General features: G+C 47.0%; 2 protein-coding genes across 10 annotated transcripts in view, besides 4 other annotated features; one reads left to right on the top strand and one right to left on the bottom strand.

Moving 5' to 3' along the window:
- The window catches only part of KCTD10 (potassium channel tetramerization domain containing 10), a 28,646-nt gene extending 9,247 nt beyond the window's left edge, over positions 1-19,399 (top strand). For 2 of the 7 annotated variants that reach the window (NR_133898.2, NM_031954.5), the window contains 5 exons: positions 7,249-7,418; positions 9,976-10,062; positions 10,372-10,424; positions 11,741-11,936; positions 16,241-19,399. Coding sequence is in view for 5 of the 7 variants with exons in the window: in NM_031954.5 (NP_114160.1) it covers positions 7,249-7,418; positions 9,976-10,062; positions 10,372-10,424; positions 11,741-11,936; positions 16,241-16,459 (725 nt within the window). In the remaining 2 variants the exon portion in view is untranslated. Of the gene's footprint in view, positions 1-7,248; positions 7,419-9,972; positions 10,063-10,371; positions 10,425-11,740; positions 11,937-14,399 lie in introns of all 7 variants that reach the window. The other 5 variants (NM_001317399.2, NM_001317395.2, XM_047429638.1 and 2 more) reach the window with 5 other exon arrangements.
- Positions 4,690-5,496: an enhancer, noted in NCBI's record as "NANOG-H3K27ac-H3K4me1 hESC enhancer chr12:109900363-109901169 (GRCh37/hg19 assembly coordinates)". NCBI's record gives its function as "activates a minimal SCP1, AML or CMV promoter by ChIP-STARR-seq in primed H9 embryonic stem cells {active_cell/tissue: H9 hESC(primed)}" and the evidence as "EXISTENCE:reporter gene assay evidence [ECO:0000049][PMID:30033119]".
- Positions 6,303-7,109: an enhancer, noted in NCBI's record as "H3K27ac-H3K4me1 hESC enhancer chr12:109898750-109899556 (GRCh37/hg19 assembly coordinates)". NCBI's record gives its function as "activates a minimal SCP1, AML or CMV promoter by ChIP-STARR-seq in naive H9 embryonic stem cells {active_cell/tissue: H9 hESC(naive)}" and the evidence as "EXISTENCE:reporter gene assay evidence [ECO:0000049][PMID:30033119]".
- Positions 7,110-7,915: an enhancer, noted in NCBI's record as "H3K27ac-H3K4me1 hESC enhancer chr12:109897944-109898749 (GRCh37/hg19 assembly coordinates)". NCBI's record gives its function as "activates a minimal SCP1, AML or CMV promoter by ChIP-STARR-seq in naive H9 embryonic stem cells {active_cell/tissue: H9 hESC(naive)}" and the evidence as "EXISTENCE:reporter gene assay evidence [ECO:0000049][PMID:30033119]".
- Positions 8,723-9,528: an enhancer, noted in NCBI's record as "OCT4-NANOG-H3K27ac-H3K4me1 hESC enhancer chr12:109896331-109897136 (GRCh37/hg19 assembly coordinates)". NCBI's record gives its function as "activates a minimal SCP1, AML or CMV promoter by ChIP-STARR-seq in naive H9 embryonic stem cells {active_cell/tissue: H9 hESC(naive)}" and the evidence as "EXISTENCE:reporter gene assay evidence [ECO:0000049][PMID:30033119]".
- A 275-nt stretch (positions 19,400-19,674) lies between the features above and the next one.
- MYO1H (myosin IH) overlaps positions 19,675-26,023 on the bottom strand; it is a 137,912-nt gene continuing 131,563 nt past the window's right edge. For all 3 annotated transcript variants that reach the window (XM_011538223.3, NM_001101421.4, XM_047428738.1), the window contains 6 exons: positions 25,782-25,837; positions 24,405-24,540; positions 23,771-23,841; positions 23,525-23,622; positions 22,442-22,541; positions 19,675-20,895 (listed from right to left, as the gene is read on the bottom strand). In XM_011538223.3, coding sequence (XP_011536525.1) covers positions 20,872-20,895; positions 22,442-22,541; positions 23,525-23,622; positions 23,771-23,841; positions 24,405-24,540; positions 25,782-25,837 — 485 coding nt within the window. In that variant the 3' untranslated portion in view covers positions 19,675-20,871. The remainder of the gene's footprint in view (positions 20,896-22,441; positions 22,542-23,524; positions 23,623-23,770; positions 23,842-24,404; positions 24,541-25,781; positions 25,838-26,023) is intronic.

Genomic DNA, 26,023 nt, shown 5'->3' with positions numbered 1-26,023 from the left:
CCGCTGCTGGAGGAAGCAGGCATTATCTGAGAACCAGGATTGTTGTGGTTTTTCTCATACCCTACCCACTCTCTGGAGGGGCTCAGGAAAGGCTGCTGAGTTGCCTCGAAAGCTGAGGCTCTTCTCCTCGAAAGGCCTCGCCTTGGTGGCCTGATGCCATATCAAAAAAGAAACGGACTCCTCTGTCCCCCTGTCCCCGACTGGACAGAGCATACGAGTGGTACTGGCAGGACTGCTCACCTTCTAAATCCCTGCTATGAGATGTTTTTCTCCTGGTGCTGCCTGGAAAACACAGGTTCTCGGGGGACACAGTGTCATTTTGACACTGCAAACTGTGACTTGTTTCATGTCACCGGAGCTCAGCCCCTGCTTCATATCATTATGAAAAGCTAATGGTATGGCATTTTATGGGGCATTCTTTTCTCTTTTTTTGAGACAGGGTCTTTCTCTGTCACCCAGGCTGAAGTGCACTAGGGCCATCATAGCTCACGGCAGCCTCCATCTCCTGGGTTCAAGCAATCCTCCCGCCTCAGCCTTCTGTGTAGCTGGGAATACAGGCATGCACCACCAAACACAGCTAATTTTTAGAATTTTTTTCTGGAGATGGGGCCTCACTATGTTGCCCAGGCTGGCCTCGAACTCCTGGGCTCAAGCCATCCTCTCACCTCAGCCTCCCAAAATGCTGGGATTACAGGCGTGAGCCACCACGCACAGCCGATGGGTATTGTTTCATTTAATCCTCACCATAACCCTTCGAGGGGTGGATACTGTTGTTGCCATTCCAAGTGAGGAGTCCCCATTTCAGAGGTGAAATGCTTTTTCAAAAGCTGATGGGACTAGAAAAGGTGAAGCTGCTGAACCCAGGACTTGCTGCCTCTTACTGTCTGCTGTCCATGGCTAGTTGTGGGCCTGGTCCAAGGCCAGATCATTTGAGTGTGGCATCCTTATGGTTTAACTGCTGTCTTTGTGCTAAAGCCCTCTGGTGGGGGCCCTCGTGAAGGCCTGGGCTGGTAGGCTGGGTATCTGGCCTTCCAGCTGTTGTCTGTGTCTGGCAGAGCGATCCTGTCGGTCCTTGGAGAGAGCACTGCATAGCCTGACCCATGGCCTGCATGTTGCCTCAAATGCACCCTTGGGTCTACAAACTGGGATAGACTCCCTGCATCCTGCAGCTCTACCCTGGCCTACAGGCTGGAAGCCTGTCAGCTGCAATGAAGTTTGCTACAAATAGGCAGAAATGCCAAGTGCAGCTCAGCCAGGCAGTGAATCCAGCAGTACAGCTTGCTGGTTAAAGGACAGGGGCTTTGAAGGTCCTGAACAGGGGATGTGTCATGTTGCCCAAGAAAGTGATTGCTTCAGGAGAGGGGACCTGGCATCCAGCATGGGGGGAATAGTCTCCTTTTTGCTCTGGGCCCTTCTACCTGATTGAGTTTTGTACTGTGTGCAAGTAACTCCTAAACCAAGAAGAACTTGGATGTTGATGTTAGCCAGGCCTGGGTTCAACACCTGGCTCTGCTGCATGTCACAGTCACAGCCGACATTTGTGGAGCTCTGTCTACATGTTGTGCTAATTTTGGCCTATTTGCCATTTACTGGTCATGTGACATTGGACAAGTGGCTTTTTCTCTGAACCTCTTTCCTCCTTCCCCAGTTATGAATGATAATGTTTTGCAGAGTTGGGGATTGAGTGAGGACATGAGAAAGCGCTTGCCACAGGGCCTGAGATGTTGGGAGAACTCAGTAAATGGGAACTGTCAATTATGGCTTTTGTTCTGAGTGTAAATGTTGGGGGGATGAGTGTTGCTGAGGGGCTACAGAGAAGCAGGTCTTAGCAGCATGTCGGGAGAGGCTGCCTGCCTTGGCCTTCAGGGATGAGTGTGCTGCAGTTCCACACTACCCCCAAGGGATGGCTTTTCTGAGAAGACAAGGACACTGTGGCAGTGAGCATGCCCTTTCCAGACTCTTCCCGGAAAGGTTCAGTTCCCACAATGCTAGAATTTTCACCTGACTCCTTGTCAGCATTGCCATTGGTCCACGGATGTAGGTAGCACCTTTCACAATGCATTCTGTTCAGCATTTGCCTGTAGTGGTCTGTTTCATCCCTGTTGCTTCGTACAATACTTCCCCCTATTGTAGGTTTTCTGATGTCTTGCTAATGTATTTTGGAATTAGTGCGTACACTAGATTGAAGAGTCATTCATTTTGTGATCGCACATTCCCCTAGAAAACTGGGAAGTCCAGTCTGATCCATGGGAAAACTGCAGTTCCTGGGGGTTTCCCTGAGATCTCCAGCCCTTCTGCCTTCCATGACAATGCTCTTTGGTAAAATTCTGAAGTACCTGAGAGCTTTTAAATTGTGAATAATACAACAAACTCACCTGTGCCACCAGGCTCAGCCCAGGCATAAAGTATGACCTGTACCTGTGGGGCCCCTTTGTGCCTTCTCTGTTTGTCCCTCTCCCTTCCAAAGGTAAGCATTTGGGGTCACCAGGTGGATCTCAAGCTTGGCTACAGAGGGAGTCACCTGAGGAGGTCAGTACTGGTGCCTGGGTCCCAGCCAGGGTGTGGCCCAGGCAGTAGGACTTTGAAGAGCTCTCTGGGTGATTCTAGTGTGCAACCAGCATTGAGAACCACAAGTGTCCATCTTTCCAGGTATTACTCTTACTATAGCTGTGCATGTCCCTAAACAAGGCGCTGTTGGTGTGTTTTTAAACGTGATGTAAATGGTGCTGTACAGTTTGTATGTTTTGCTTTTGCTTACGTAGCATTATGCTTGTGAGATCAATCCACAACTAAATAGCTCTCGTTCAGACATTTTCCGGTGGTAGAGTGTCCATTCTAGAAGCATACAGCCGCTGCCGGAGCCATATTCTGTTGATGATCATGTAGAGGGTTTGCGGTGTTCACTGTGACGAATGTGAACATCCTTGAACGCTTTCCCCGTGCGTGGGAGTTTCTCTGTGCGATGCTGCCCAGCCTTTGCCACATCATGGGGCACGTAGACAATCATATTTTCACTTTGGCAAATGAGGGGGCTCTGGACTCCCTAGATCCCACCCAGCCATCTCAAGGGCTATGGCTTTAAGATCTTACCCACTGTTGGGAGCTCAGCCCTAGAGTTTATTCCCAGGAGGGGAATTGGGACAGCATCTTCTACTTCCTTAGATATTGCAGGAGTCCCTTCTGGAGTGGTTATGGCAACTTCTACTCCCTGCAGAAGTCTGGATTTTTGCCAACCCTTGGCACTGTCCAACCTTTTAATTATTGCAAATCTGGTGAGTATGATATGGTACCTTGTTTTATTCAGTATTTCCTAATGTCTGGTACGTTGAGCATGTTTTTATGTGTATTGCTCTTTTGAGTTTAATCTTTTAACTGCTTGATTGCATCTTACTTACACATTTGCCTTTTTCTTATTACTTTGCAAAAGTTCATATACTGGATCCTGTTTCTTTGGGGTCCAGTGCTGCAAATATCTTCTCCCAGTCTGACTTGTCTGAGCTTTTTTAATGGGGCTTTTGGAAACCTCAGAGTTTAAATCGCTTTTTTACACTTACATCCTTGATCTACCTCAGTGATGCCCAAACCAATGGGTGATTTTTTGGGATATTTAGCAATGTCCAGAGACATTTTTGTTGTTTCTTGGGGATGATGGTGCTCCTGGCGTCAAGTGAGTAGAGGCCAGGGATGCAACTAAATACCCTACAATGTGCGGGGCAGCCTCTTACAACTAAGAATTATCTGGTCCAAAATGTCAAAGTGCTCAGGTTGGAGACCCTGCCCTAGGGATTCTGATCAGGAATGAGGCAGGTTGCTAGAATCTGAATTTTTCACAAGTACCTTGGGTGGCATTTATGATCAGGGGTGTTTGGGAACCACAAAAATATAGAGTATAAATACCTTAGGATGGCAAAGAGAGGTCAGTGAAGGTTCCCTGGAGGTGGTGGGAGAGGGGAAAGGAGAGGTCAGACATCCAGGGAGAGAGGAAGCACATGGTATGCTCACGGGGCGGGGAGGAGGGGAGCCTAGTGGCCCAATCCTCCTGACCCCCAGAGCAGCCTTCTCCTCCCTTGGGTCCCTGAAAGCAACACCAACTCCATCCTGGGGGCTGGAACTTGCTGCCTCTGGACGCTGCTGCTCTGCTTCCAGCAATAATGATGAAAGATGAGATTGTTAAAGACCCATAGCTGCTTTTGAGTGCTGTTGGTAGACCCAGCATTGTGCTGTGTGCCTTCTGTACGTTCTTTCATCATATTTTTATGTCAACCCTGTGAGATCGTTTGTAGAAGAGAAAACTGCTAGACAGAGGTTAATTGAAGCACCAATGTCATCCAGCAAGAAGGTATCAGAGCTGGGTTTCCAACACTTAACTGCTGTGCTGTGCTGAGGACGTCCTGGAGCCCAAGTCCAGTGCTGCCCAGTGTGGTCCCGGTCAGTTCTGCTCTCCAGCCTTGCCTAATGGGTCTGGGATCCCAGGCTGCCCTGACTTTGGACAGCCTTCCTAAATAGCTCTCGTGCCCCGTGGCAGCAGGAGAGAGACCCCCCACATGCGAGGAGCTGCTTGACTTCCATTTGTCTTTCTACGTGCTAGGCATTTGAGCTGACTTTCAAAGGGATCACTTCCTGCTTTGAAAGCAACCACAGTATCTTAAAGTCAAAACGCTGATTGAAACCTCCTGGAGAGTGTGCCTGGCTCCCTTGCCCTTATTTGTCCAAAGTATGATTCTTTCGCCACAAGCATTTCCTGACGGCATTCTTGAGCCGGAGCCCAGTGTCACGGTCTGCCTGTTCATTTATGGGAACTCTGGGCTGTCATTTGGATAATTGATTTCAGGGCCCTGGGTCTTCCCAAGCAGCTGAGTTCTGCAGACATCAAAGGCAGAACGTGGAAGGTTCCTTCCCTGCGCAGCTGAGTTGAATTCTATTTATCTTTTCAATTCTGGTGAAAGGAGTTTTCCTATGAGTGCCTTACTTTTTCTTTGTGGTCTAGTCCTGCTGCCTCTGCTTGGGAATGGCACTGCACCTCTCTGAGCCTCTGTTTTATTTGTGGAAAATGCAAGGGAATGAGCTCCCCTCAAAAAAGAACTGGTAGAAAGATAATACGGTCTTTCCCTGCCTTGTCAGCCTTCTGAGAAAAAATTACTTGGTGTAGGGTAGCACAGAGGCCTCAAGCTGGTAGCCTGCAGGCCCAGTTCAACTGCAGATGTGTTTTGTTTGCCTTGTGGTGGGTTGATGACAGTTTTGTTTTGTTTTAATTAGTTTACCGTCCTTTAAAAATCAGGGAATTCACAGAAAAATCTGGGTTTCTGGCATTGCATGGAACATCAGAGCTCACAGCTCTTGGGCCCACATTCCTGCCTGGCCACTCTTGGCTGGAGTGGGAAGAGCCTGCCTCTCTTGGGGGCAGGGCAGATGCTGTCCTGTCAGCCCCAGCCTCAGCCCCGCCCAGCTGCACTCATTTATTGTGCTTACTGGCCCTGGAGGCATCTGGGTTGCATAAGATATTAATTCCATATTTTGTTTTCTCAGATGTAGAAAGAAGTGGGGTGGGATCACATTTGCAGGTCACTGTCAGGGTGATGTGATTTACCATGCCTGGGAAGGCCTCTTTCTTCCCTGAAACCAGGAGTTGACTCAGGGCTATACATTTGTATTGCATTTCCCCCCACTTGGGGTATTCTTCCCACCTACTCAGGAAATTGGAACAGTGCGGAAGTAGGAAGTGGAAGCCGCTGGAGGGTGGAGACCGTTCTTTTAACAAAAGGCCCAGGAACTTTAGGCTGAGCTGTTTCATCAGGGGAACCTGGAAACGGCCCTGTTATCAAACTTTCCTGGCAATTCATGCAAAGAATACCAAACTATGCCCTAAAACCATGAGAGGGCACTTGGCAGGGACTGGACCTGCCAGGTAAGGGGTAGGGGAAAGCGGGCAGACTTAAGACTCTGGATTGTGAAAAAGATGCGTTTGCTGCTCTCAACTTTTGCTGGCCTCTGCCACTGATCCAAGGCCCAGGATCAGTAGGGCCCAGTCTGAGGAGGACGTGGAACAGGGCACAGCATTGTTAGGAGTGGAACAGGGCACAGCGTTGTTAGGAGTGGAAATGTTGGCCCTTCTCCCAAAGTGGGGAGGAAGGTGGTAGCATAAAGTGACCGATTCCTACTGAAGCCTTCTCACGGCCCTGCGCACTGGCATTTTCCACCTGTAATGCGTGGCAGGAGCCGTGGGGACGCCCCTTGCCTGAGGTCACCCTGCTTGTCAGAAGGCCTCGACTTCACCCTCTCATCTGTCTGGCTTCTTTTTAGAGCTTCACATTTGCTGTTGGGAGATACTTGGACTTTGCTCCATTCCTGCCTTCCTTTTTGGTACCTCCTCCTCCTAGGCTCCAGTCCTGTCTTCTACAAATACCACTCCCAGAGACACTGCATTTCAGTAGAGGAGTTCTGAAAACCCTCAGGATCTCTGGTGGAGGAATGTCAGCTCAGTGACAAGATTAGAAAGGACATTGAGCAGCAGAGTAGGGAGTCTTCCTGGCCCCCACCCCCAAGAATGTTTCACAGTGCCTGGATTTGGTCAGCTTTGGGACCTTTTTCCATATCCAATAAAAGCTGATTCTGTCTCCCCATGTTTACCGAGCTGCCTGAGGGTGGGGTCTGTCTTGGTCATTCACTAGCCACTAAGTGCTTGTTGCAGGAAGTTGTGGGATAGGACTTCCTGTGTTGGTGCTGGTCAGTGTCTAGGGCTCAGCCTTGGGAGTCAGAGGTCACAGTCTGCGAGGGTGAGACTTGTGCGTTCTTAGAAATGGCTCTGTTAATGTGACAGTTTGAAGGAAGCTTTGTGGAAAGAGGAAGTAGATATTTTTTACCCAGAAGGCTTTCTTCTATCCTTGGTATGTGGCCATTTGGGCCTGTTTTACCCAGGTGTGGTACACGAGGCCCCTGTTGGATGTCCTTGTGTAAGGGATATTTGAGGGTACTTCAGAAGTGTACTTTTGGGCCTCAAGAGTCGGGATGTCTAACAGAGCCTCAGACCAGGGTCACCTGGGGTTATGGTTGTGTCCAGCCAGTAGGGCCTGGAGGCTGTGGGGGCTTCCTCAGCCCTTAGTGGGCAGGTAGGCAGGTGAGGCTGCCATTCTCCAGGCAGTCCCGCTCTCCGCTGGGAGGTAGAGGGAGCCGAGAGACACCCCAGCTCTGCTCAGGGCCTCCCACAAGAGGAGGGCCCATGTAACCAGCCCCTGCCTCCTCCCTCTGCAGGCTGGATCCTCATTGACCGCTGTGGGAAGCACTTTGGTACGATACTCAACTACCTTCGAGACGGGGCGGTGCCTTTACCCGAGAGCCGCCGGGAGATCGAGGAGCTGCTAGCAGAAGCCAAGTACTACCTAGTCCAAGGCCTGGTGGAAGAGTGCCAGGCGGCCCTACAAGTAGGCATCACCCTTTCTTCCCATATGGGTGGAGAGGCACCAAGCCTACCTGCCTTCCTCATTTTCCCTCTCTGCAAAATGGGGGCAGTTTCTGTCTGACTGAGATGTTGTGAGAGTTAATGAGTTTGCCCTGGAGCCCGATTCCTTCGGTTGGAGTGACCCCTGAGAGGCCTCCCTGGAACAGCAGGCCACCTAACTACTGTGTCACTCCTTGCAGCCCCATGCTGTTGGATCTTCTCATGTGTACATCTCAACCCTTCAGCAGAGAACCCCGCGGTGTGAAACTTGGTCGGTGTTCGGGACCAATCTTAGGGCTTACTCTAGTCCCACAAGTCATTGTTGGGAGCTCAGCATAATCTCTACAGACAGACACCCCTCACTCCTTAGCTAGACAGAGCAGGACCACTGGAGTCAGGTCTGGTGACAGTAAAATCCCACAAAAACAAAATGCTTCTAGACATGGCCAACACCCCTTTATTTCAAACAAAGTTGCAACGTGGCAGAGCATCAGAAGCATCCCTTTGGGTTTTCGTAGGAATCTGGTCTGTGTGCATGAGGCCCTTGTTTGGGCCTCCCCCACACCACATGTCTGTGTCTGGCCCCGCACCGGACCAGTACCCATAATGCTGCACACCACCTCTACTCTGAGAGTCTGAACTCACTGCAGACCTAACTGAATGTTGCAGCATTTACTTTTTTATTATTACTACACTGTTGAAAGTGATGCACATGCATCCTTCAAGAAGTCAAATAGTGCTGCAAGGTTAACATCAAAACACCACCATACCCCTCCTACTCTCCTTCACCCTTGCAGTAACCTCTGTGAATTCTTTCAGCAGTTTTTTCTGTTCACATTTATGTTTCCACATAATTCGCCTGTGCTGCTCTTTATTGAATTCCCAGTTTTTGACATTATCTACTGGCATGACTATAGAAACTAGAATTTAGCTCACGCACTGCCCCTACCTCTACCCCCACCAAGCTTAGGCATACTTTTCCTTCTCCCATTCTCCCAGTACAGTTCATCACAGTTTTGGTTAAATTCAGAGTTTACGTCATGACGTGTAAATACGGCTGACAGTTAAGCCACAGAGTGTACAGTGATTATTTTCTTTCTTCTATAACTTTAAGTTTGCCAGAGTTAGGGATTGCCTCATTGTTTTGTTCACTTGGTTTTCTAAATATATGTTCCTACTTCAGCCCCACGTTCTCAGCGGTCTCATAGTGGTGTGTTCAGACACATCAGAGGTTCTGTTTCATCTTTGTCTTGGAGACATGCCCCTGGGTCTCGTTTCTGTTAGTCTAAGGTTAGACCTCCAGGACTGACCTCCTAATTCTTTCCTCTTAGTGTCTCTGGCTTTATCCTTTTGTTCTACTTTCTCAGAAGTTTTATTTTTCACCTTTTCAACCCTTCTATCAAAATTTTCATTTCTGCTTCGTCTTTCTAACTTCAGGAGCCTTTTCTTGCTGTCCGAATGCCCTGCTTTCCACAGCGTGCTCATCTTGTTTCCTAGGAGGCCGTATCTGCTCTCAACTGTCTGATGATTCTGTTTGTTTTCTTTCTTCTCCCTTCATTATCTGACTCCTCCTCTTTTCCTGTCTTTGTTTTGGTTTTGTTCTCATGTTAAAGAGGCTTTTCACATGTAATCTGATGATGCTTGGCTGTCTGTTGAAGGAATGAGAGACTCTGAAAGCTGTTTGTGCATGGAAGGTCCTTGTTGTCCACTGGGCTGCATTGTGGGTGATAAGGCAGACTTTTTCAGCGGGACCCCCAACTGTCAGAATCTGTAAGCCATTTTGGGGGAAGCAGGTGGTGTTCCTGAAGAGGAATCCTCTACTCTCCTCCTGCCTGACGGGTCTAGGCCTGGCCGGCTGCCTTTGGGGATCTGGAAGGGGAAGGAGCTGGGGTTGCTCATCACTTAGTGTGATGTTCACTTGTCCCCCCGTTTTCAGAATCGCAGCTCAGCCCTGTCCTCTACCGTGCAAACCACTGCAGGAAGATGGCCCTTTCTTCTGCCTGCATGGGGACGGAGATGGATTTGGGGATCTTTCCAGTGCTTCCGCCCACTGGTTTCAGCTTTCCCCCTCTCCTTGGTTAACGCTCACCTGTGACCTTTCTACCCTCAAATTTTTGACTTTTTTTACTGGTCTGCTGACCTCACTTCTCCCATTCTTTTTCCCCTTATGGGTTTATGCTTTTTTTTTTAATTCCTCTGCAGTCATGGTAGTGGGGTTTTAGGAGCTTTTGATTAAAACACGTTTCTGCTGCCACGTCAAGGGTTTATTTTTGAGTGGCTTCCTGGGCTGTGGAAAATGTGTCATCATTGTTAGTACTTACTCAGCATCCTGGCCTATCATGGTCATAGCCAAAGAGCAGACTTACTGGGAAATTCAACTCCCTGTCTTCCCCCATCTAGTTCACTGGTGGTGAGAATCCTTCTCTCTTCCCAGCCATGACTGCCCCATCTCCCCTCGCCAGAGCCTGTCCAGCCGGTCAACTTTAAAAATGCAGTGCTAGGCAGGCCTCCTAGGCTGAAAGCATGTTTTGTTCCAGCAGAACAAAGATACTTATGAGCCTTTCTGCAAGGTCCCTGTGATCACCTCATCCAAGGAAGAACAAAAACTTATAGCGACTTCAAATAAGGTATGTTGGAGGCACCCTTGTGGAATTTCTTTTGCTACCAGAAATGATGGAGGTTCTTCTGAATAACTTTTGAAATAAAAACATGTATAATTGCCTGAGTGAGGCCTGATAATGGGTTCACAGTGGGAAGCTACAGGTCATCTTTTGTGCCCCTGCTATTGGGTCATGTGGTCCCCCTCTCCAGCCAGCAAGCTATGCTTGTCTGCCTCTTCTGATGCAGGGCAGGGCCCCAGCCCTATGGGAAGCTAGTAGTTCATTGCATCTGCCTGCCAAGTAACTCTCTTCTTCTTCTTTTAAAACAACCCACAGCCAGCCGTGAAGTTGCTCTACAACAGAAGTAACAACAAATACTCATATACCAGGTAAGGCGTCAGCCGGGAAAGACAGCTCCATTTACTAGGAAAACCTCCACTCACACCAGCCAGGCCCAGCTCTTCTTCGTACCTTCAGATGAGGATGACCCCTCTGTACCTCTCTGCCTGGATAGATAAGTAGACAGATGGATACAGGGGTATAACTCTGAGCTATAATTCACACATATCATAAAAGTCATCTTTCTAGAGTGTACAGTTATTATTATATTCACAATATGTGGTTTTTATATATTCACAAGTTGTGAGGCCATAACGACTATCTAATTTTAGAACTTTTTCACTGCCTGAAAAGAAACCCTCTATTCGTTAGCAGTCACTCCCCATTTTCCCTCAACCATTGCTTCCCCAACCCCACAGCCCTAGGTAACCACTAATCTGTTTTCTGTCTTGATGAATTTGCCTGTTCTGGACATTTTTATGTGAATGGAATTGCATAATATATGGCCTTTTGTGACCAGATTCCTTCATTCAGCATAATGAGATTACCTAAGAGGTTTTCAAGGTTTATCCATGTTGTAGCATGAATCAATACTTCATTCCTTTTTATGGCAGAATAATATTCCACAGTGTAGACCACATTTTCTTTACCCATTCATCAGTTGATGGACATTTGGGTTGTTTGCACTTTTTGGCTATTGTGTGTAATGCTGTTATGAACATTCATGCAAAGTCTCTATGTGGACTTACGTTTTCATTTCTCTGGGAACAGAATTGCTGGGTCATGTGGTAATTCTATGTTTAATCATTCGAGGACCTGCCAAACTGTTTTCTAAAGTGGCTGCACCATTTTACATTCCCACCAGCAATATATGCAGGTTTCTAGAATGCCATTTGGCCCTTGAAAACATGTGGCTCTAACTCAGGAACTTGAGGGATGCAGGGAGGATTTAATCAGGTTACTCAAGATCTTTAAAAAGACCTAGGATATAGAGTCTCCCTTGGGCAGTGCCATTCTGCTCCTCTTGGGGCTCGGTGAGGTGCTCTCCTCCACCTGGTGCCTGTGCCCAGAGGCTGTCACTCAAGCACAATGGTTAGGAGCACTCAGGCTTAGGGGCCAGGGCTGTCTTTTGGGGGGCGTGTCTGCCATTTATTAGGTTCAGCCTTGAGCAATTACCTAATTTCTCTGATCCTCACTTTCCTTCTTGAGTGATGGAGATTGGAGTGCCTTTGTCATGGGATTATTGTGAGGTTGAAATGAGGTAGTGGAGAAAGTGGGCTCAGTAGGGCCCTGCGTGTAGAAGGGCCCAGCAAATGATGGCAGTTTTTACCAGCTTGTGGTCACCGTATCAAATGCTCTTTTGCAGCAATTCTGACGACAATATGTTGAAAAACATTGAACTGTTTGATAAGCTGTCTCTGCGCTTTAACGGAAGGGTCCTGTTCATAAAGGATGTTATTGGGGATGAAATCTGCTGCTGGTCCTTTTATGGTCAGGGCCGGAAGATTGCTGAAGTCTGTTGTACCTCCATCGTCTATGCCACTGAGAAGAAACAGACCAAGGTAAGAGCCTCGAGAGGACAGTTTGGAGTGGCTGTTCTGAAACACACACCTATAGAACTTCCTTTCACTTGAGCCCAATACAGAGGGAAATGCTTTTAAAATGCTTTGCTTGCCTTGTGATTGCTCATCCTTAAAATATTTATCTTTTAGGCCCTGCAAGGAGCCAAATGTAGGGTTCATCTGGCATTCCTTTAGCTCCCTACCTTGCTGGCTTCCTTCCAAGCATGCTTGACTCCCTGACTGGGCTGGACTCTGGGGATGTGTTTTTATATCATCCTCTCCAAACCAGTAGGCTTGACCTATCCTTTGACTTCTCCCACCATGCCGTTCCACAAAGCTGGATTGCTCTGCATAGTGCTGCTAGAGATCTGGCCCCCCCTTAATTGAATTTGCCTGCCCTTTTGGGGCTCTGCAATTGGGTTTTCTGTCTTTTTAAACTTTTAATTCACATTATACACTCTGTCATTTCTTTAACGTGTCTAAGGGAATTCTGGCTATCCAGTGACATGCAGCAGGTCTGCTGTGGGCCGACGGTCATGCCTCTTGTCACCCTTGCACAGGAGTCTTAAGAGCCTGAGCCTGTAGGTCACTTACCCAGGTTACTATTGTCCCTGCAGCTTTTGGGGCCACAGTTCTGCATGATTCTGTAGCTGACCTCGAACAAAAAGCAAATGAGAAGAAATCATCACATCACAAAGTAGAAACCAGAGTCTTTTTTTTTTTTAACTTATTATTGAAAATTGAAGCCATACACAGAATTATAGTGTGGTGATTTCCCCTGTGCCATCACGCCACGTCAAGGGCCATCAGCTTGGGCACTCTCACTCAGTCTGTATCTACTCCTCCTCCCCAGCACTCACAGGATGAATTTGACAACATATTTTATTCCTAAGCATTCAAAATCTATCCTAAAAGAATAGATATTGTTCTTAAGGTAGCCAAGAAGTGCTAAACACTGAGGTTCTTTTTGCTTTCAAAGATCCCGGGGGCAGGGGGTGAACCAGAATCATCTGCCTCTCTCTCCACATTGGCAAGACATCATGCCCCTTTTCTCCTGTGAACTGTTTTTTTTTTTTCAGGGCTGTGAATTCTTCCTGTAATTAGACCCCCATTCTGTCATGGTTTGATTTTTTAAAAATATACCTGGGCTGCCTCTGCCCTTGGGTAGTAAGAGGAGAGTCACCATATTGATTAAGCTTTAAAAGATTAAGACTTCTCATTTTTAGAGCTTAATAAGGAACAAGGGGATTTAGAGACCACATGGTCTGATCCCAACTGTTTCTAGATTAGCAGACAGGTTCAGGAGTGGCATGTTCTTGTGTTTGTAAAGCTAGTTAGTGGCAGAGCCAGGATGGGAAGCCAAGGGCCTCTTTCTTTTCTCTTTGTTTTGAGAGAGAGTGTTGCTCTGTCACCCAGGCTTGAGTACAGTGACACAATCATAGCTCAATGCAGCCTTGAACTCCTGGGCTCAAGTGATCCTCCTGCCTCAGCCTCCTGAGTAGCTGGGTCCACAGGTGCATGCTACTACACCTGGCTCATTTTATTTATTTTTGTAGGGACTGGCTTTCACTATGTTGCCCAGGCTGGTCTCGACCTCCTGGCCTCAAGTGGTCCTTCTACCTTGGCCTCCCAAAGTGTTGGGATTACAGGCATGAGCCACTGCACCCAGCCCATATCACTCTCCTCTCCTGTCTCATCTCCACTCTGTTATTGAGCCCTGCTGGTAAGTTGTGTTTTTGTTTGAGGTTGTTGGTTATTGTATTTGTCAGTTCTCAAGTGCTCATTTGGTTTTTCTGTCTCCTTGCTGAGACTCCCTATGTTTCCATTTGCTCTAAGAGCATTGGCCCTTACTTACTGGAACAGGTTAATAATAGCTGCTGCCAGGTCTTTGTCAGGTAATTCCAAAACCTTGTGTCACCTTGGCGCTAGCATCTGTGAGTTATTTCCCACAGGAGTTGAGAATTTCTTGGTTCTTGTGTATTGAGAAATTTTGATTGTATCCTAAACATTTTGAATATTGTTAAAGGACTCCAGGCCTTGTTTAAATCCTAGGGAGAACATTGATGTTTTTGTTTTAGCAGGCAATTGACCCAGTTGGGCTCAGGCTGCAAGCTCTAACCAGCCTTCTGTAGTTTGTAGTTGCGGTGACAGTTTGATTTTCAAAGCCTTCAAATCTGTCCTAGCTGTGTGCCATGCTGTGGCCCGTCTGTCCTGGGCAGTATCTCTTGCAGCATTCAGTTCTTTCAGTCTGCGTATGCAGTTTAGGGGTAGATCTTGCAGCTGGGTGTGGGTCTAGGAGTTCATATACAACTTCACAGGCTGCTTTCTCAAGCTCCTCTTCTCCGCAGTTCTCTAAGCTTCCCTGGAGTCCCCTTCTCTGATCGGCCAGCCAGAAAGCTGGGGGTTTGGTTATTCCCCCTTTGCCACCCACTTTCTGTAACCATGCCTGTATTTTGGGCCCAGGAGCATGAAGATAGAAAAAGCAACCAGATTCTCCCAATCCTGCTGAGACCACAGCTCTTCTCATCAGAAAAGAAGGTTCCTTCCCTCAGAGTTTTGACTCCTGCAGTCTCTGGTTGCTGCCACAGGAATGCTCAGGTCTGGGTGCAAGAAAATAAAGAAAAGGACTGAGCATGGTGGCTCACACCTGTAATCCCGCACTTTGGGAGGCCAAAGCAGAAGGATTGCTTGAGTCCAGGAGTTTAAGACCAGCCTGGGCAACATAGCAACACCCCTGTCTCTACCAAAAATTTTTTAAAAAATAGCTGGGCATGGTGGTGTGTGCCTGTAGTCTAAACTACTTGGGAGGCTGAGGTGGGAGAATCATTTAAGCCCAGTAGTTCAAGACCAGCCTGGGCAACATAGCAACACACTCATCTCTACAAAAAGTTAGTTGGGCATGGTGATGCATGCCTATAGTCTCAACTACTTGGGGAGGCTGAGGTGGGAGAATCATTTGAGCCTAGGCGTTCAAGGCTGCAGTGAGCTATGATTGTGCCACTGCACTCCAGCCTGGGTGACAGAGCAACACTCCCTCTCAAAACAAAAAAGAGAAAAGAAAGAGGCCCTTGGACTCCCGTCCTGGCTCTGCCCCTAACCAGCTTCACAAACACAAGAACACGCCACTCCTGAACCTGGTCTGTGAATCAAGAAACAGTTGGGATCAGACCATGTGGTCTCTAAATCCCCTTGCTCCTTATTAAGCTCTAAAAATGAGAAGTCTTAAAATTTTAAAGCTTAATTAGCCAGATCCCATATCTTTTAAAAAAAAAGGAAAGAAAACCAGGATTTCCTCCCAGCCTCTCTGCCTGTTAGACTCTGTTGGCCTCCCTGGCCACTAGAGACCTTCTGGAGGTCTTCTGTCCTGGTGCCATTTCAGGGTTTCAGGCTGCATCAGTGCTGGCAGCAGCAAACAGTAAACTCACTGTTGGGCATTACTCCAAATTCTGTTGTTTCCCCCATCTGCCTGCCATGATTTACTTCTGAGTCCACAGTTAGCTGCTGTGTGCATCCCATTCTGGCTTTGTAGTGTCAGTGAGGAAGACGGGGTAGAGTGTGCCTGCTCCATTTTTCCCAGAACCTCCGAATTCCACCCTGAAAGTGGAGTCTAGTCTGATCAAATGTGTGGGACCTGCTTATGTGGCCCTCTTCCTGTTCATCACACCTTAACCCTGAAGGGCAATGAGCAAACACAATGATTTGCCAAACAGCAGAAGGGCTCATGCCCATTTCGTGGGAGTCCCCAGCTGGACCCTGTACAAAAAACTGCTTTAGAGACTGCTTTAAGGTGTGGAAGGACTTCTGTGCAAGGTTGCAGCTCTGTTAGGAGAAGCATATTAGCACTGACCTAAATGGCCATCCAAGTATGGTTAATTGCATTGTCGTATTTATAATTCCTTGATACAGAATGATCTCTAGGTTAAGTTAGGCACAAGAGGAAGACATGTACAACTCTGTGTGGTGGGCCACCTTGTGTGTTTTTTGAAGTGTGTGAATAAATATGTGTATTACACATATTTACATGCACAGAATCTTTGAGAGGGTAAAATGATGAGAAACTGTACCTTTAAGAAGGGAAACTAGGGGCAGGGAGACCTGTTTCTCTGCATCCCCTTGATTTTCTGTGCATTTAGCACCACATGTAAGTGTTGCCATTGAAAATATCAGTTTATTTAAAAATAATACTGGTGGCCTTCAGCAGAATCCCAGGGGCCTGATTTAGCCTGGCGGCCCTGCTTAAAGTCCAGGTGTTGGCAGAGGGGGTGGGCCATAACTTACCTGCCCTGTATACTGTGGGAACACAGGTGGAGTTTCCCGAAGCCCGGATTTATGAGGAGACCCTGAACATTTTGCTGTATGAGGCCCAGGATGGCCGGGGACCTGACAATGCGCTCCTGGAGGCCACAGGCGGGGCGGCGGGGCGCTCCCACCACCTGGACGAGGACGAGGAGCGGGAGCGGATCGAGCGCGTGCGGAGGATCCACATCAAGCGCCCTGATGACCGGGCCCACCTCCACCAGTGAGCAGGCAAGAGACCGAGCCGCCCTCCTCTCACCGCCCCCACTCCCTGCCGTGCTACACCCAGATCCTGTGCAGGCTGCCGGGCCCCTTCTGCTTCCCTTGGAGCCTGGAGATACTTTTGTAACAAGCCAGATGATTATTTTGGTATTGCTTGACAAGGCAAATTGATTGTCTTGACCCAGGCGTATGACCCCTGTCGTTGAACAAGCTGTGTCTAAGATCTCTACTTTTCATGAGAATCTGAGACTCTTTGGAGCCAGGCTTTCTCGGTTCTCAGAGGAAAAGTATGAATGAGTGTGAAGTGTATGTGAGAACTTTTGTTTGCAATATTTATTTTTGTGGGTGTCGACTTCCTATGTGGGCTTTTTGGGTGACACTCCCTTAAGGGTTCAGTTTGACAATTCTGAGAGTTGTCCTGCAGTTGGAGGCCACCAGAGGTATCTGAGCTCCCTGCTTCCTATTTCATAATCCTCCAGCCCCAGCAGGTCCACTCCTGGTTCCTGTGTGTTTGGCCCGGGCACAATCCCCACTGCTTTGCTAGACGTGCTTTCTGCCATGTGGCTTTGGGCCTAGAGCTTGTTGATAATTGCAGCTTGTGGCAGTGGAAATATGGCTGAATGAGCGTCTAAATCGTTGAGACCAGTGCAACTTTGGGTGCAAGGCTTTGTTTAGGGATCAAGCCTTTTGCCACCTTGGGCTGGTCTTTGGCCTGGTGCTCACTGGGACCCCATATGTCTGCGTAGGAGCAGAACTTTCCATGGCAGTAAGTGTCCAGCTCTGTTTCTGGTTCTTTCCCCAACTCCAGCCCCGTCCAGTTGTTCTCCTGATTGACCCGACTCCACTCCAGGAAGGCCATCTGACCCTGTGACAGGCATAGCTCATAAACTACCCCTCCCTGGGATCCCGCTCCTCTTCAGCCTCCTTCCCCATGAAGCTGGGCTAACTTTCTAAGTCATTTTGCTTAGAAATTCAGTGTGGCCCATACCCTTTGTCCTCCCAGCCTGGCATCCAGGCAGGGACACCCTCACACCACCAGCCCCAGGGAGCTTCCCTGCTATAAACACAGACCCCCTTGTCTTTGCCTCTGATTTTTACACAGTGTAGAGTGGCCAGCAGTGAACAGGTTGAGGATGTGCGGGTAGATAGATAACTTTGGGTCTGGTTTGTGTCTGTGTTCATGTTTGTTTAAGGGATATGTGTGACTGTGGGTGGGGACGTGTGCTTGTGGGGCACAGGTGGCGGCCCCTGCTGGAGCCCGGCTGGGCGCAGCGCCTATGTAGGACGGGTGTTCTCAGTGACCTACCTCCCAGGCTCCTCTGCACCTGCAAAGGAACAGGAGTGAGTCGTGACTGACAGGGGTGGTTGAGACTAGACTAGGTAGAGTAGTTACCAGGAGATGTGAATGTGCGTCAGGTGATGGATGGGTTTGTCAAGGGAATCGTTACCGTTTTATACCAAAGGTATTAACATGGGCAGCCTTTGACACATGTATTCCAAAAACGAGTTTATATTTTCAAACGGTTTTTACAGCTTAGACTTTGTACTTACTGCCCTGCCTGTGACAGTTGTATGCCTTCATTTTGTATCCAACAGCAAAGTCTACAATAAAACTTTAAAACAATCATGACTGAATGTCAAAATCGTGTATTGGGCAGATGCTTTTTAAACTGTCGTGTGAGAAACTTTTATATTAGGCCATTTGGATTTTATTAAGTGCTAAGGAAAGAGGGCTTACAAAATGTTTCGTAAATATTTTATACTGTTTAAGTGTTAAACACCAACCCTGTCTTTCTTTTGGGTTGAGCTTTTTTAGAAAGTCGAAGTGAATGTTGGCCAGGAAAATGGAAAAGCCATTGTATAAATTTTTTTTTGAGGCGGAGTCTTGCTCTATTGGCCAGGCTGGAGTGTAGTGGCACCATCTCCACTTACCACAACTTGTGCCTCCTGGGTTCAAGCGATTCTGCTGCCTCAGCCTCCCGAGTAGCTGGGATTGCAGGTACCCATCAGCCCATGCCCAGCTAATTTTGTATTTTTAGTAGAGATGGGGTTTCACCATGTTGGCCAGGCTGGTCTTGAACTCCTGACCCTGTGATCCGACCACCTTGGCCTCCCAAAGTGCTGGGATTACAGGTGTGAGTCACCACACCTGGCTGCATAGTGTTTTAAATGTTTGTGTGAAGAATGAGTTTGTGGAACAATTTGATTTGCTGTGGCCTCTATGCCTAATGAGCTAGTGTTTCTGGCAGCTCTCTCTACCCAACTTTGCACTTGTAGTTTTGAGTCTTTGTCTCTCTGGAATATGAACAGGTTTATAAAACATTCCATGGTGAACAATTCTGTCGGCTGCATTATAGCCATGAGTGAATAGACAGCATTGGCTGGTCCAAGCTCTGTTATTGAGTATACAAGGAACTGATTTTTCTTATGTTAGCACTAAGGGCAAAAACCAATATTTATAATGTAAGCACTATCCAGGTAAAACACTGGCCCAAGATTTGGTAAAGAGATTTCATTGCAATGTAATAACTACAGTTTTTTACAAATTGGAACAGCTTTGGTGTGTCGTAATCAAGGGTTTTTTTTGTTTGTTTGTTTCAAATAAGCCATCTGATTGTGGTGACTGGGGCCCATGTCCAAGACAATTCCTGGCATATTCTGTCACCCTCCCGTGGGGCGATCACTGTGTGGGGACCCCATTCCCCAGTTAAAGTGTGTCTCTGTACCTTACAACAGCGATTCAGGACCCAAGTGTGAACAACACTCAGCCCGCCCTCTGGAGCGTGTGCTGTCTTTAGGGCCCTACCCAAAGTCACTGTAACAGTTAAGTGTGTCATTAACCTTTCTGTCTCTTTGCGCCATAAAAAAATGCTCAAAGTTTTAGATGTAGCCACTGTATGTTGTACAAACGTTGGCGACATGTAAAATAAAAGTCATAAAATGCTTCTGTTTTCTGGCTCTTTTCAGGCATGCCCGGCATAACCAGGCCCCTAAAATCGGTTTACAACAAAGGCAGGGCCCCCACGTTCTGCCTCAGCCCCTTAAAGTCGCTCCAGGTGGAAGGGAAAAGACAGTCATGTTTCTGTAGTGTTTGTTTGAATTCAAACACCAAAAGGAAGTCTTGGGGTCAAAGGCTGCCTGGCTCATGAAAAAGTGAATCAGCTGGTGTTACCACTGATTTGCTATTATGGGGCAGAGGGCTTCAGTTCACCAAACCCAATCCCTTGACACATGTGAGTTCCATTTATTTAAAGCAAAATTCAAATTTCACAGCTTTAGGAAATTTCCTTTACTTAGTCTCAGACCATGCACAGTAAGTCATCGATAGGTTCTTGGAAGCTGAGACTTGAAGCAAAACCATGAGGCTAATGGATGTAAACAAGAGTTAAATTCCTACAGCATGTTGCTGGGCACAAAAACATCACCCAATTTCTAAATAAAGACCAAAGCACTTCTCATATTAAACTGTGAAATACATGAGCTACACGTATATTTAATTAAATCAAAAATAAGACCATATTACCTAAGTTTTGGTGAATCGGTAAGTGATGGTGGTCACAGTGGTGGCCGCATACATCAGTAAATAAACGCTTGCAAAGGTGAGATTATACGGAGCCCCTCCCCAGTCACAAGCGTGGCAGGCTCGCTACACGCTTTTGCGCTGTGGCATTTATTGTCCATTTGTGTGCTCATATGCTTTATATACATTTTTATTTTACAATAAAATTTGTATTCATTCGTTCTCCAACCTGCACGTTCAGGGTTGCAGATGGCCAGAGCCCAATCCCAGCAGCTCAGGGCAGAAGGCGGGACCCACCCTGGACAGGATGTCCTCCTCTCACGGGGCTCACGCACCCACACTCACTCAGACTGGGACCGCATAGACACGCCAGTGCACCTGACACACACACCTTGGGGACGTGGGAGGAAACCAGAGCACCCAGAAGAAACCCAGAGACATGGGGAGAACATACAGACTCCACCCAGACAGTGGCCCTGCCCAGGAATCAGATGTCTTATCAACATATAACGAAATGTTATTTGAGAACTTGCTGTACACAGTATTTCATCATGTCTCAGGGCAGCTTGACAGAGGTAGAGAATCTTGCCCACCCTCTAATGACACGTTGGACTGCGCACTGAACATAGATCCTGTCGAGGGTGTTTAGAATTGCGCCTTCGGGTGACCTGGGGTCTGCTTCCAGAAGGTGACATTTTAAATAAGGTGCCATGGGGCAGCTGAGGAGCTGGGATTAGGCTTTGGCCTAACGCCCCTCAGTTTCTTCAGATGTGATCTGTTAGTGCTGCGGGCCTGGTACCTTGAAGAGGTAGCTAACTGGATCCAATCCCCACTTCCCCTGTAGTTTCCTCAGTTGGAGCAAAAATGGCGATGGTAGAGGTCAGACGTCATCCTCTATCAGGACTTCCTCCGGACTGACACCTGGGAGAGAGTCACACTTCGGTTTACAGCCCTTCCCCGCTCCCTTTGCGCAAAAGGAAACAGTTATCACCTCAACTGTCACCATTAGCAAGGTGGGTGTGGAGGGCCTGTGAGAAGCCAGTGCCACCTCCCATGAGACAAGCCAGACTTAGAAACTGGCTCATCGAGGCCTGTCAGCCTCTTCAGCCAGAACCAGTCAGGGAGGAAGATGGACTCCGTGTGACTCCAGAGGAGAGAGACACAGTCTCTGGGGTGTCACTTTTAAGACAGTGTGTAAACTAAAAAGACACCTTATAGTCTACATCCAAAATGATCCTTATTTTAACTTGTCCCCAAAGGAGTTCATTGTGTCTAGGGGCAATTATTTTATATCTACAAAATGATTTTATTTTTTTGAGATGGAGTCTCACTCTATCGCCCAGGCTGGAGTGTAGTGGTGCGATCTCAGCTCACTGCAACCTCCGCCTCCTGTGTTCAAGCAATTCTCCTGCCTCAGCCTCCCTGAGTATCTGGAACTATAGGCATGTGCCACCATGCTCAACTAATTTTTGTATTTTTAGTAGAGACGGAGTTCACCATGTTGGCCAGACTGGTCTCGAACTCCTGACCTCAGGTGATCTGCCCATCTCGGCCTCCCAAAGTGCTGGGATTATAGGCGTGAGCCACCGCGCCGGGCCTGCAAAATGACTTTATAGGTAAATCCACTTAAATTTAAATGTGTATGAGACACTCCATGTTCACAGACCATTTTTTAATTAATTTGTATCAAAATTCTTCCTATAATACAAGATACATTTTAAAGATTCAGCTCCCTCTGCTTTTAACATGTCGTTTTCAGCAAAACTGGATCAAAACAAGCTCCGTGTACTAGCAGCCAGCGAGGACCACTGGGACCCTCAGCCCAGCATGGGCACAGTCAGGGAAGGCAGCGTACTTGTGTGCTCAGGCTAGACTTCTCCCTAACGTAGCCATGGTTCCCAAACCTCTGTGCTTGTTAGATCCATTTTATACCAAAGGTATTAACATGGGCAGCCTTTGACACATGTATTCCAAAAAGCAACTTTATATTTTCTTACATATTTTTTACACATTTCTTTCTTACATATTTTTCTTACGTTTATATTTTCTTGCATCCTGAAGCCTAAGCCGCACCTCCAACCAATTAAGTCTCAGTATCTGGGTGGGACACAAGCGCATTGATTTCCACGTGGGGGGAAGTTATGGATAGTTATGGATAACTGTAATAAGCGTGAAGCCTTTATCCAGTGAAAAGTTAGACTCTGCTATTTGGGAAGTGTCTCATGTCAGCTTCTGGTTCACTGACAAGGATGGTTAAGCTTTTTTTCTTTTCTCATTCAGTGTTTAGATGTGTGTATCTCTATATCAGTTTCTTCCTGTCTTACAGATGTAGAATTAGGAATAGAGGGCAGAAATGAACTATTAATAGCTTATGATTCCAGTCAATCTACAGGACTGAAATTGGTAGAACTTTAACTTATATTCTCATCTAAAACGGCTTACTTCCCTCCCAGAGACGGCCACTCACCACTGTTAATTGTCCATTTTTATTTTTATAGACTTGTTCTTCCAGTCCAGTGTCGAAAACTATTGTGCCTTCTTTTCCCGGACTAATAAAAAACTGTAAACTTAAAATACACAAAGTGACACATTACTGACATACTGTATTTTCTTCTCTCAACCTTTGGTCTACAGAAGAAATTCACTTATTAAATTCTACTAGTTTCAAGATCAAATTCCTGTTTTATTACAGTGTTTTATTGCATATTTGAGGAAAGGAAGAATGCTGTTGCCACAGCTGGGCAACTTACATGTTTCTGTAGTTACCATGAGATCAAATGAGCACATTCAGTTCTTCAAAGGGTCAGTTGATGTCTATGGAACTACTTCCATATCACACTGAAACTCTGAGGGGCTGAGTATTCCCTCAGGTACAGCAACACAAAGACAACACATTTCAAAGCACTCAACTCTCTCTCCTTATTCCACCTACAAATGTGCTCTGGTTGTTAAAACTTGGAACAGCACAGGATGAGGGAAAAGAAACAGCTCTCCAGGATATCCTGCCTTCACTGACTTCATTTCTCTGAAGGCCAAGATCCCAGGGATGAAGACGGAAAAAAGTTACTTATGGGAAGGGGCGAGGATGTAACACTAGAGGCTTCTCACCCCTTACTGGTAGAGATGGTGCTTGATTACGTTGGAAGCAGGAGGCAAGCAGGAGTGAAAACAATATTTGCATCTTCCCCGATCTGTAATTTTTTTTTTTTTTTGAGACATTGTCTATCTCTGTTGCCCAGGCTGGAGTGCAGTGGTGTGATCTTGGCTCATTGCAACCTCCGCTTCCTGGGTTCAAGGGATTCTCGTGCCTCAGGCCTCCCAAGTATCTGGGATTACAAGTGTGCACCACCAAACCCGGCTAATCTTTGTATTCTTAGTAGAAACGGGGTTTCACCATTTTGGCCAGGCTGGTCTTGAACTCCTAGCCTCAAGTTATCTGCTCACCTCAGCCTCCCAAAGTGCTGGGATTATAGGCATGAGCCACCACGCTCGGCCTTAATAAACATTTTAACATTGAATTACTTCCTGAGCTGAAGATGAAGCCACCTACCTTCCTTGAACAACATTGACAATGTTCTCCTTCTTAACCAGCATGACGAGTTTAGTAACTGCTTCAAACACGTGTCCACACTGCAAAACGGCATCCCCCTGGGGTGGGGAGGAGACAAGGCATAATTTCAGTATTCACAGCTTAAAGAAACAGACACTCCAATAGAGAAGTTTCACGGTGGTCAACTTAACATTTTGGCAGTGTATTGTTTCTGTCTTTTAGTAGAGACTGGTGGCTGTCAATTACCTTTTGCTTGCTGTCCTCTGGTGAAACATGAATGACTAAGATTCCATCACTCAGATTGCTAGTGGAGACACCTTAAGACAGATCCAGAGTTAGGAGCCAAGAACTAGAGAGCTTGACATTAGTACAGAGGAAGAAGAGATACGCCCAGGGGCTGCCCAACACCACACTTCATTCTCCTAGCTGGGCCCAGAAGGATGAAGGGCATACTTTAGAAATCTTAGCCTGCTAGTGGGCTCTGATCACCGTGGAAGCAGACTATTGCCCAACCTGGGTACTTGAGTAAAGTGGTGCTATTAATATTTATGCCAGAATAAGGGTGCAGTCCAGGCTGGGCAACGCTAGGGGAGGAGGGCAGATGGTTTTGTTTTTTGTTTTTTTTTTTGAGCCAGAGTCTCACTTTGCCACCCAGGCTGGAGTGTGTGGCACAATCATAGCTCACTGCAGCTTCGAATTCCCAGGCTCAAGTGATCCTCCTGCCTCAGCCTTCCGAGTAGCTGAGACTACAGGTGTGCATCACTACCCCGGGGTTTATGGGCACCCTACACTTGTGTTTCCCATTTGGGAGCTTCATTACTGGGCTTTCCAGTAGTTGAGTCAACTCAGTGCATTGTTTTAAAGATTGCCCACTTCTTACCTTTGAGAGCTGAGTACTCTATTTTCTGCTTGATTTTGGCAAGTTCCACCACGTAAGCTGCTTTCTGAGTAAGAATGAGTTGCCGCTGCCGTGCTTTGAAGCCTTTTCTGTCATATTTAATGACCGGGACACCATACTGCAAGGGGAAGGTGACTTCACCAGGGAAGGTGGGGCAGAGTACCGAGTTTCTTGCTACTCAGACACCGGTAAAGTGATGTCAAGCATTTAGAAAAGCTCAAACAGATTTTGCGTGTATGTGTGTGTGTGTGTGTGTGTGTGTGTGTGTGTGTGTGTATATACACACATATATACGTACACATACATACACACATATATACGTACACATATATACACACATATATACGTACACATATACACACACATATACGTACACATATACACACACATATACGTACACATATACACACACATATACGTACACATATACACACATATACGTACACATATACACACATACGTACACATATACACACACATACGTACACATATACACACATATATACGTACACATATACACACATATACGTACACATATATACACACATACGTACACATATATACACACATACGTACACATATATACACACACACACACACACATATATATATATATATATATTTTTTTTTTTTTCCTGGCTCTCTGCATGATGGGGATTTGGATCCCTAGCTCTGCCTACCTGCGTTGCCCTCTGAGGAAGTCAAGGCTATGGCTGCCTGCCTTGCAGGTCTGCTCTGATGGTCAGAGATGAAAACTCTCACAGCCACAGTGTAATCCAATCCAGTCACAGTGGCTTCTATTCCCCAGGGAACAAAAAAAAAAAAAAAAAAAAAAAGAGCAGACACTGGCACACACGATCACCAGGGCTTCACCTGCTGCTGCGTGCCAGGCAGCAGCCTGAGCACCTCTCGCCCACCGACTCATTCATCCTCTCAGTAAACCCATCATCCTCATTCACAGAAGATCAGAGGCACCAAGAGCTTAAGTGACCTGCCCAGGATCTCACGGCTGCTACGTTCAAAGCAAGTGTCAGTGCCCAGGCACTATGCCACACTGCCTCTCACCAATAAGGGGGTGTTTCGTGATTAAGTTCATGGCTACACTTCATTCAATTTTGTAGGAAAGCAAACCAAGACAGTTTCTAGGGTGACGGAGGTGTCATGAGAACAGCAGCCATTATCTAATCATCATTTGTTCCCCATCATCTTAGTTAATACCCAAAGCATCACAGTTGAGAGCCCCAGCTGCCCAGCTGCACCCCTGCATTTAAATAGTGCGCCCTTTATGGAGAAAGGGGACCCTGCTCTTAGACTCGATGAGGGAATCCTGTTTGAGACTGAGGACACACATCGCCTTACCTGGATTTTCTCATGGCTAATTAGCTGAAGCACTTTCGGATTAATGTCTCCTTCATCTAGAGAGGGAACCAGAAGGCCATGAATCATCACTAAAGTACCAATCCTGTGGAAAAGTCATTGGTATCTGCTAGTTTTGTTATGCATCTCTGTGCTAAGATCTCAGGTGGGGAAATAGCCATCAGGAAATGCTGCAGAGTTGAGCATCTGCCTTTGACTTATTTTTTTGGAGACAGAGTCTCGCT

This window comes from Homo sapiens, chromosome 12, assembly GCF_000001405.40.
Source record: "Homo sapiens chromosome 12, GRCh38.p14 Primary Assembly".
Taxonomy (NCBI): Eukaryota; Metazoa; Chordata; class Mammalia; order Primates; family Hominidae; genus Homo; species Homo sapiens.
This window is presented reverse-complemented; position numbering and strand designations above follow the sequence as displayed.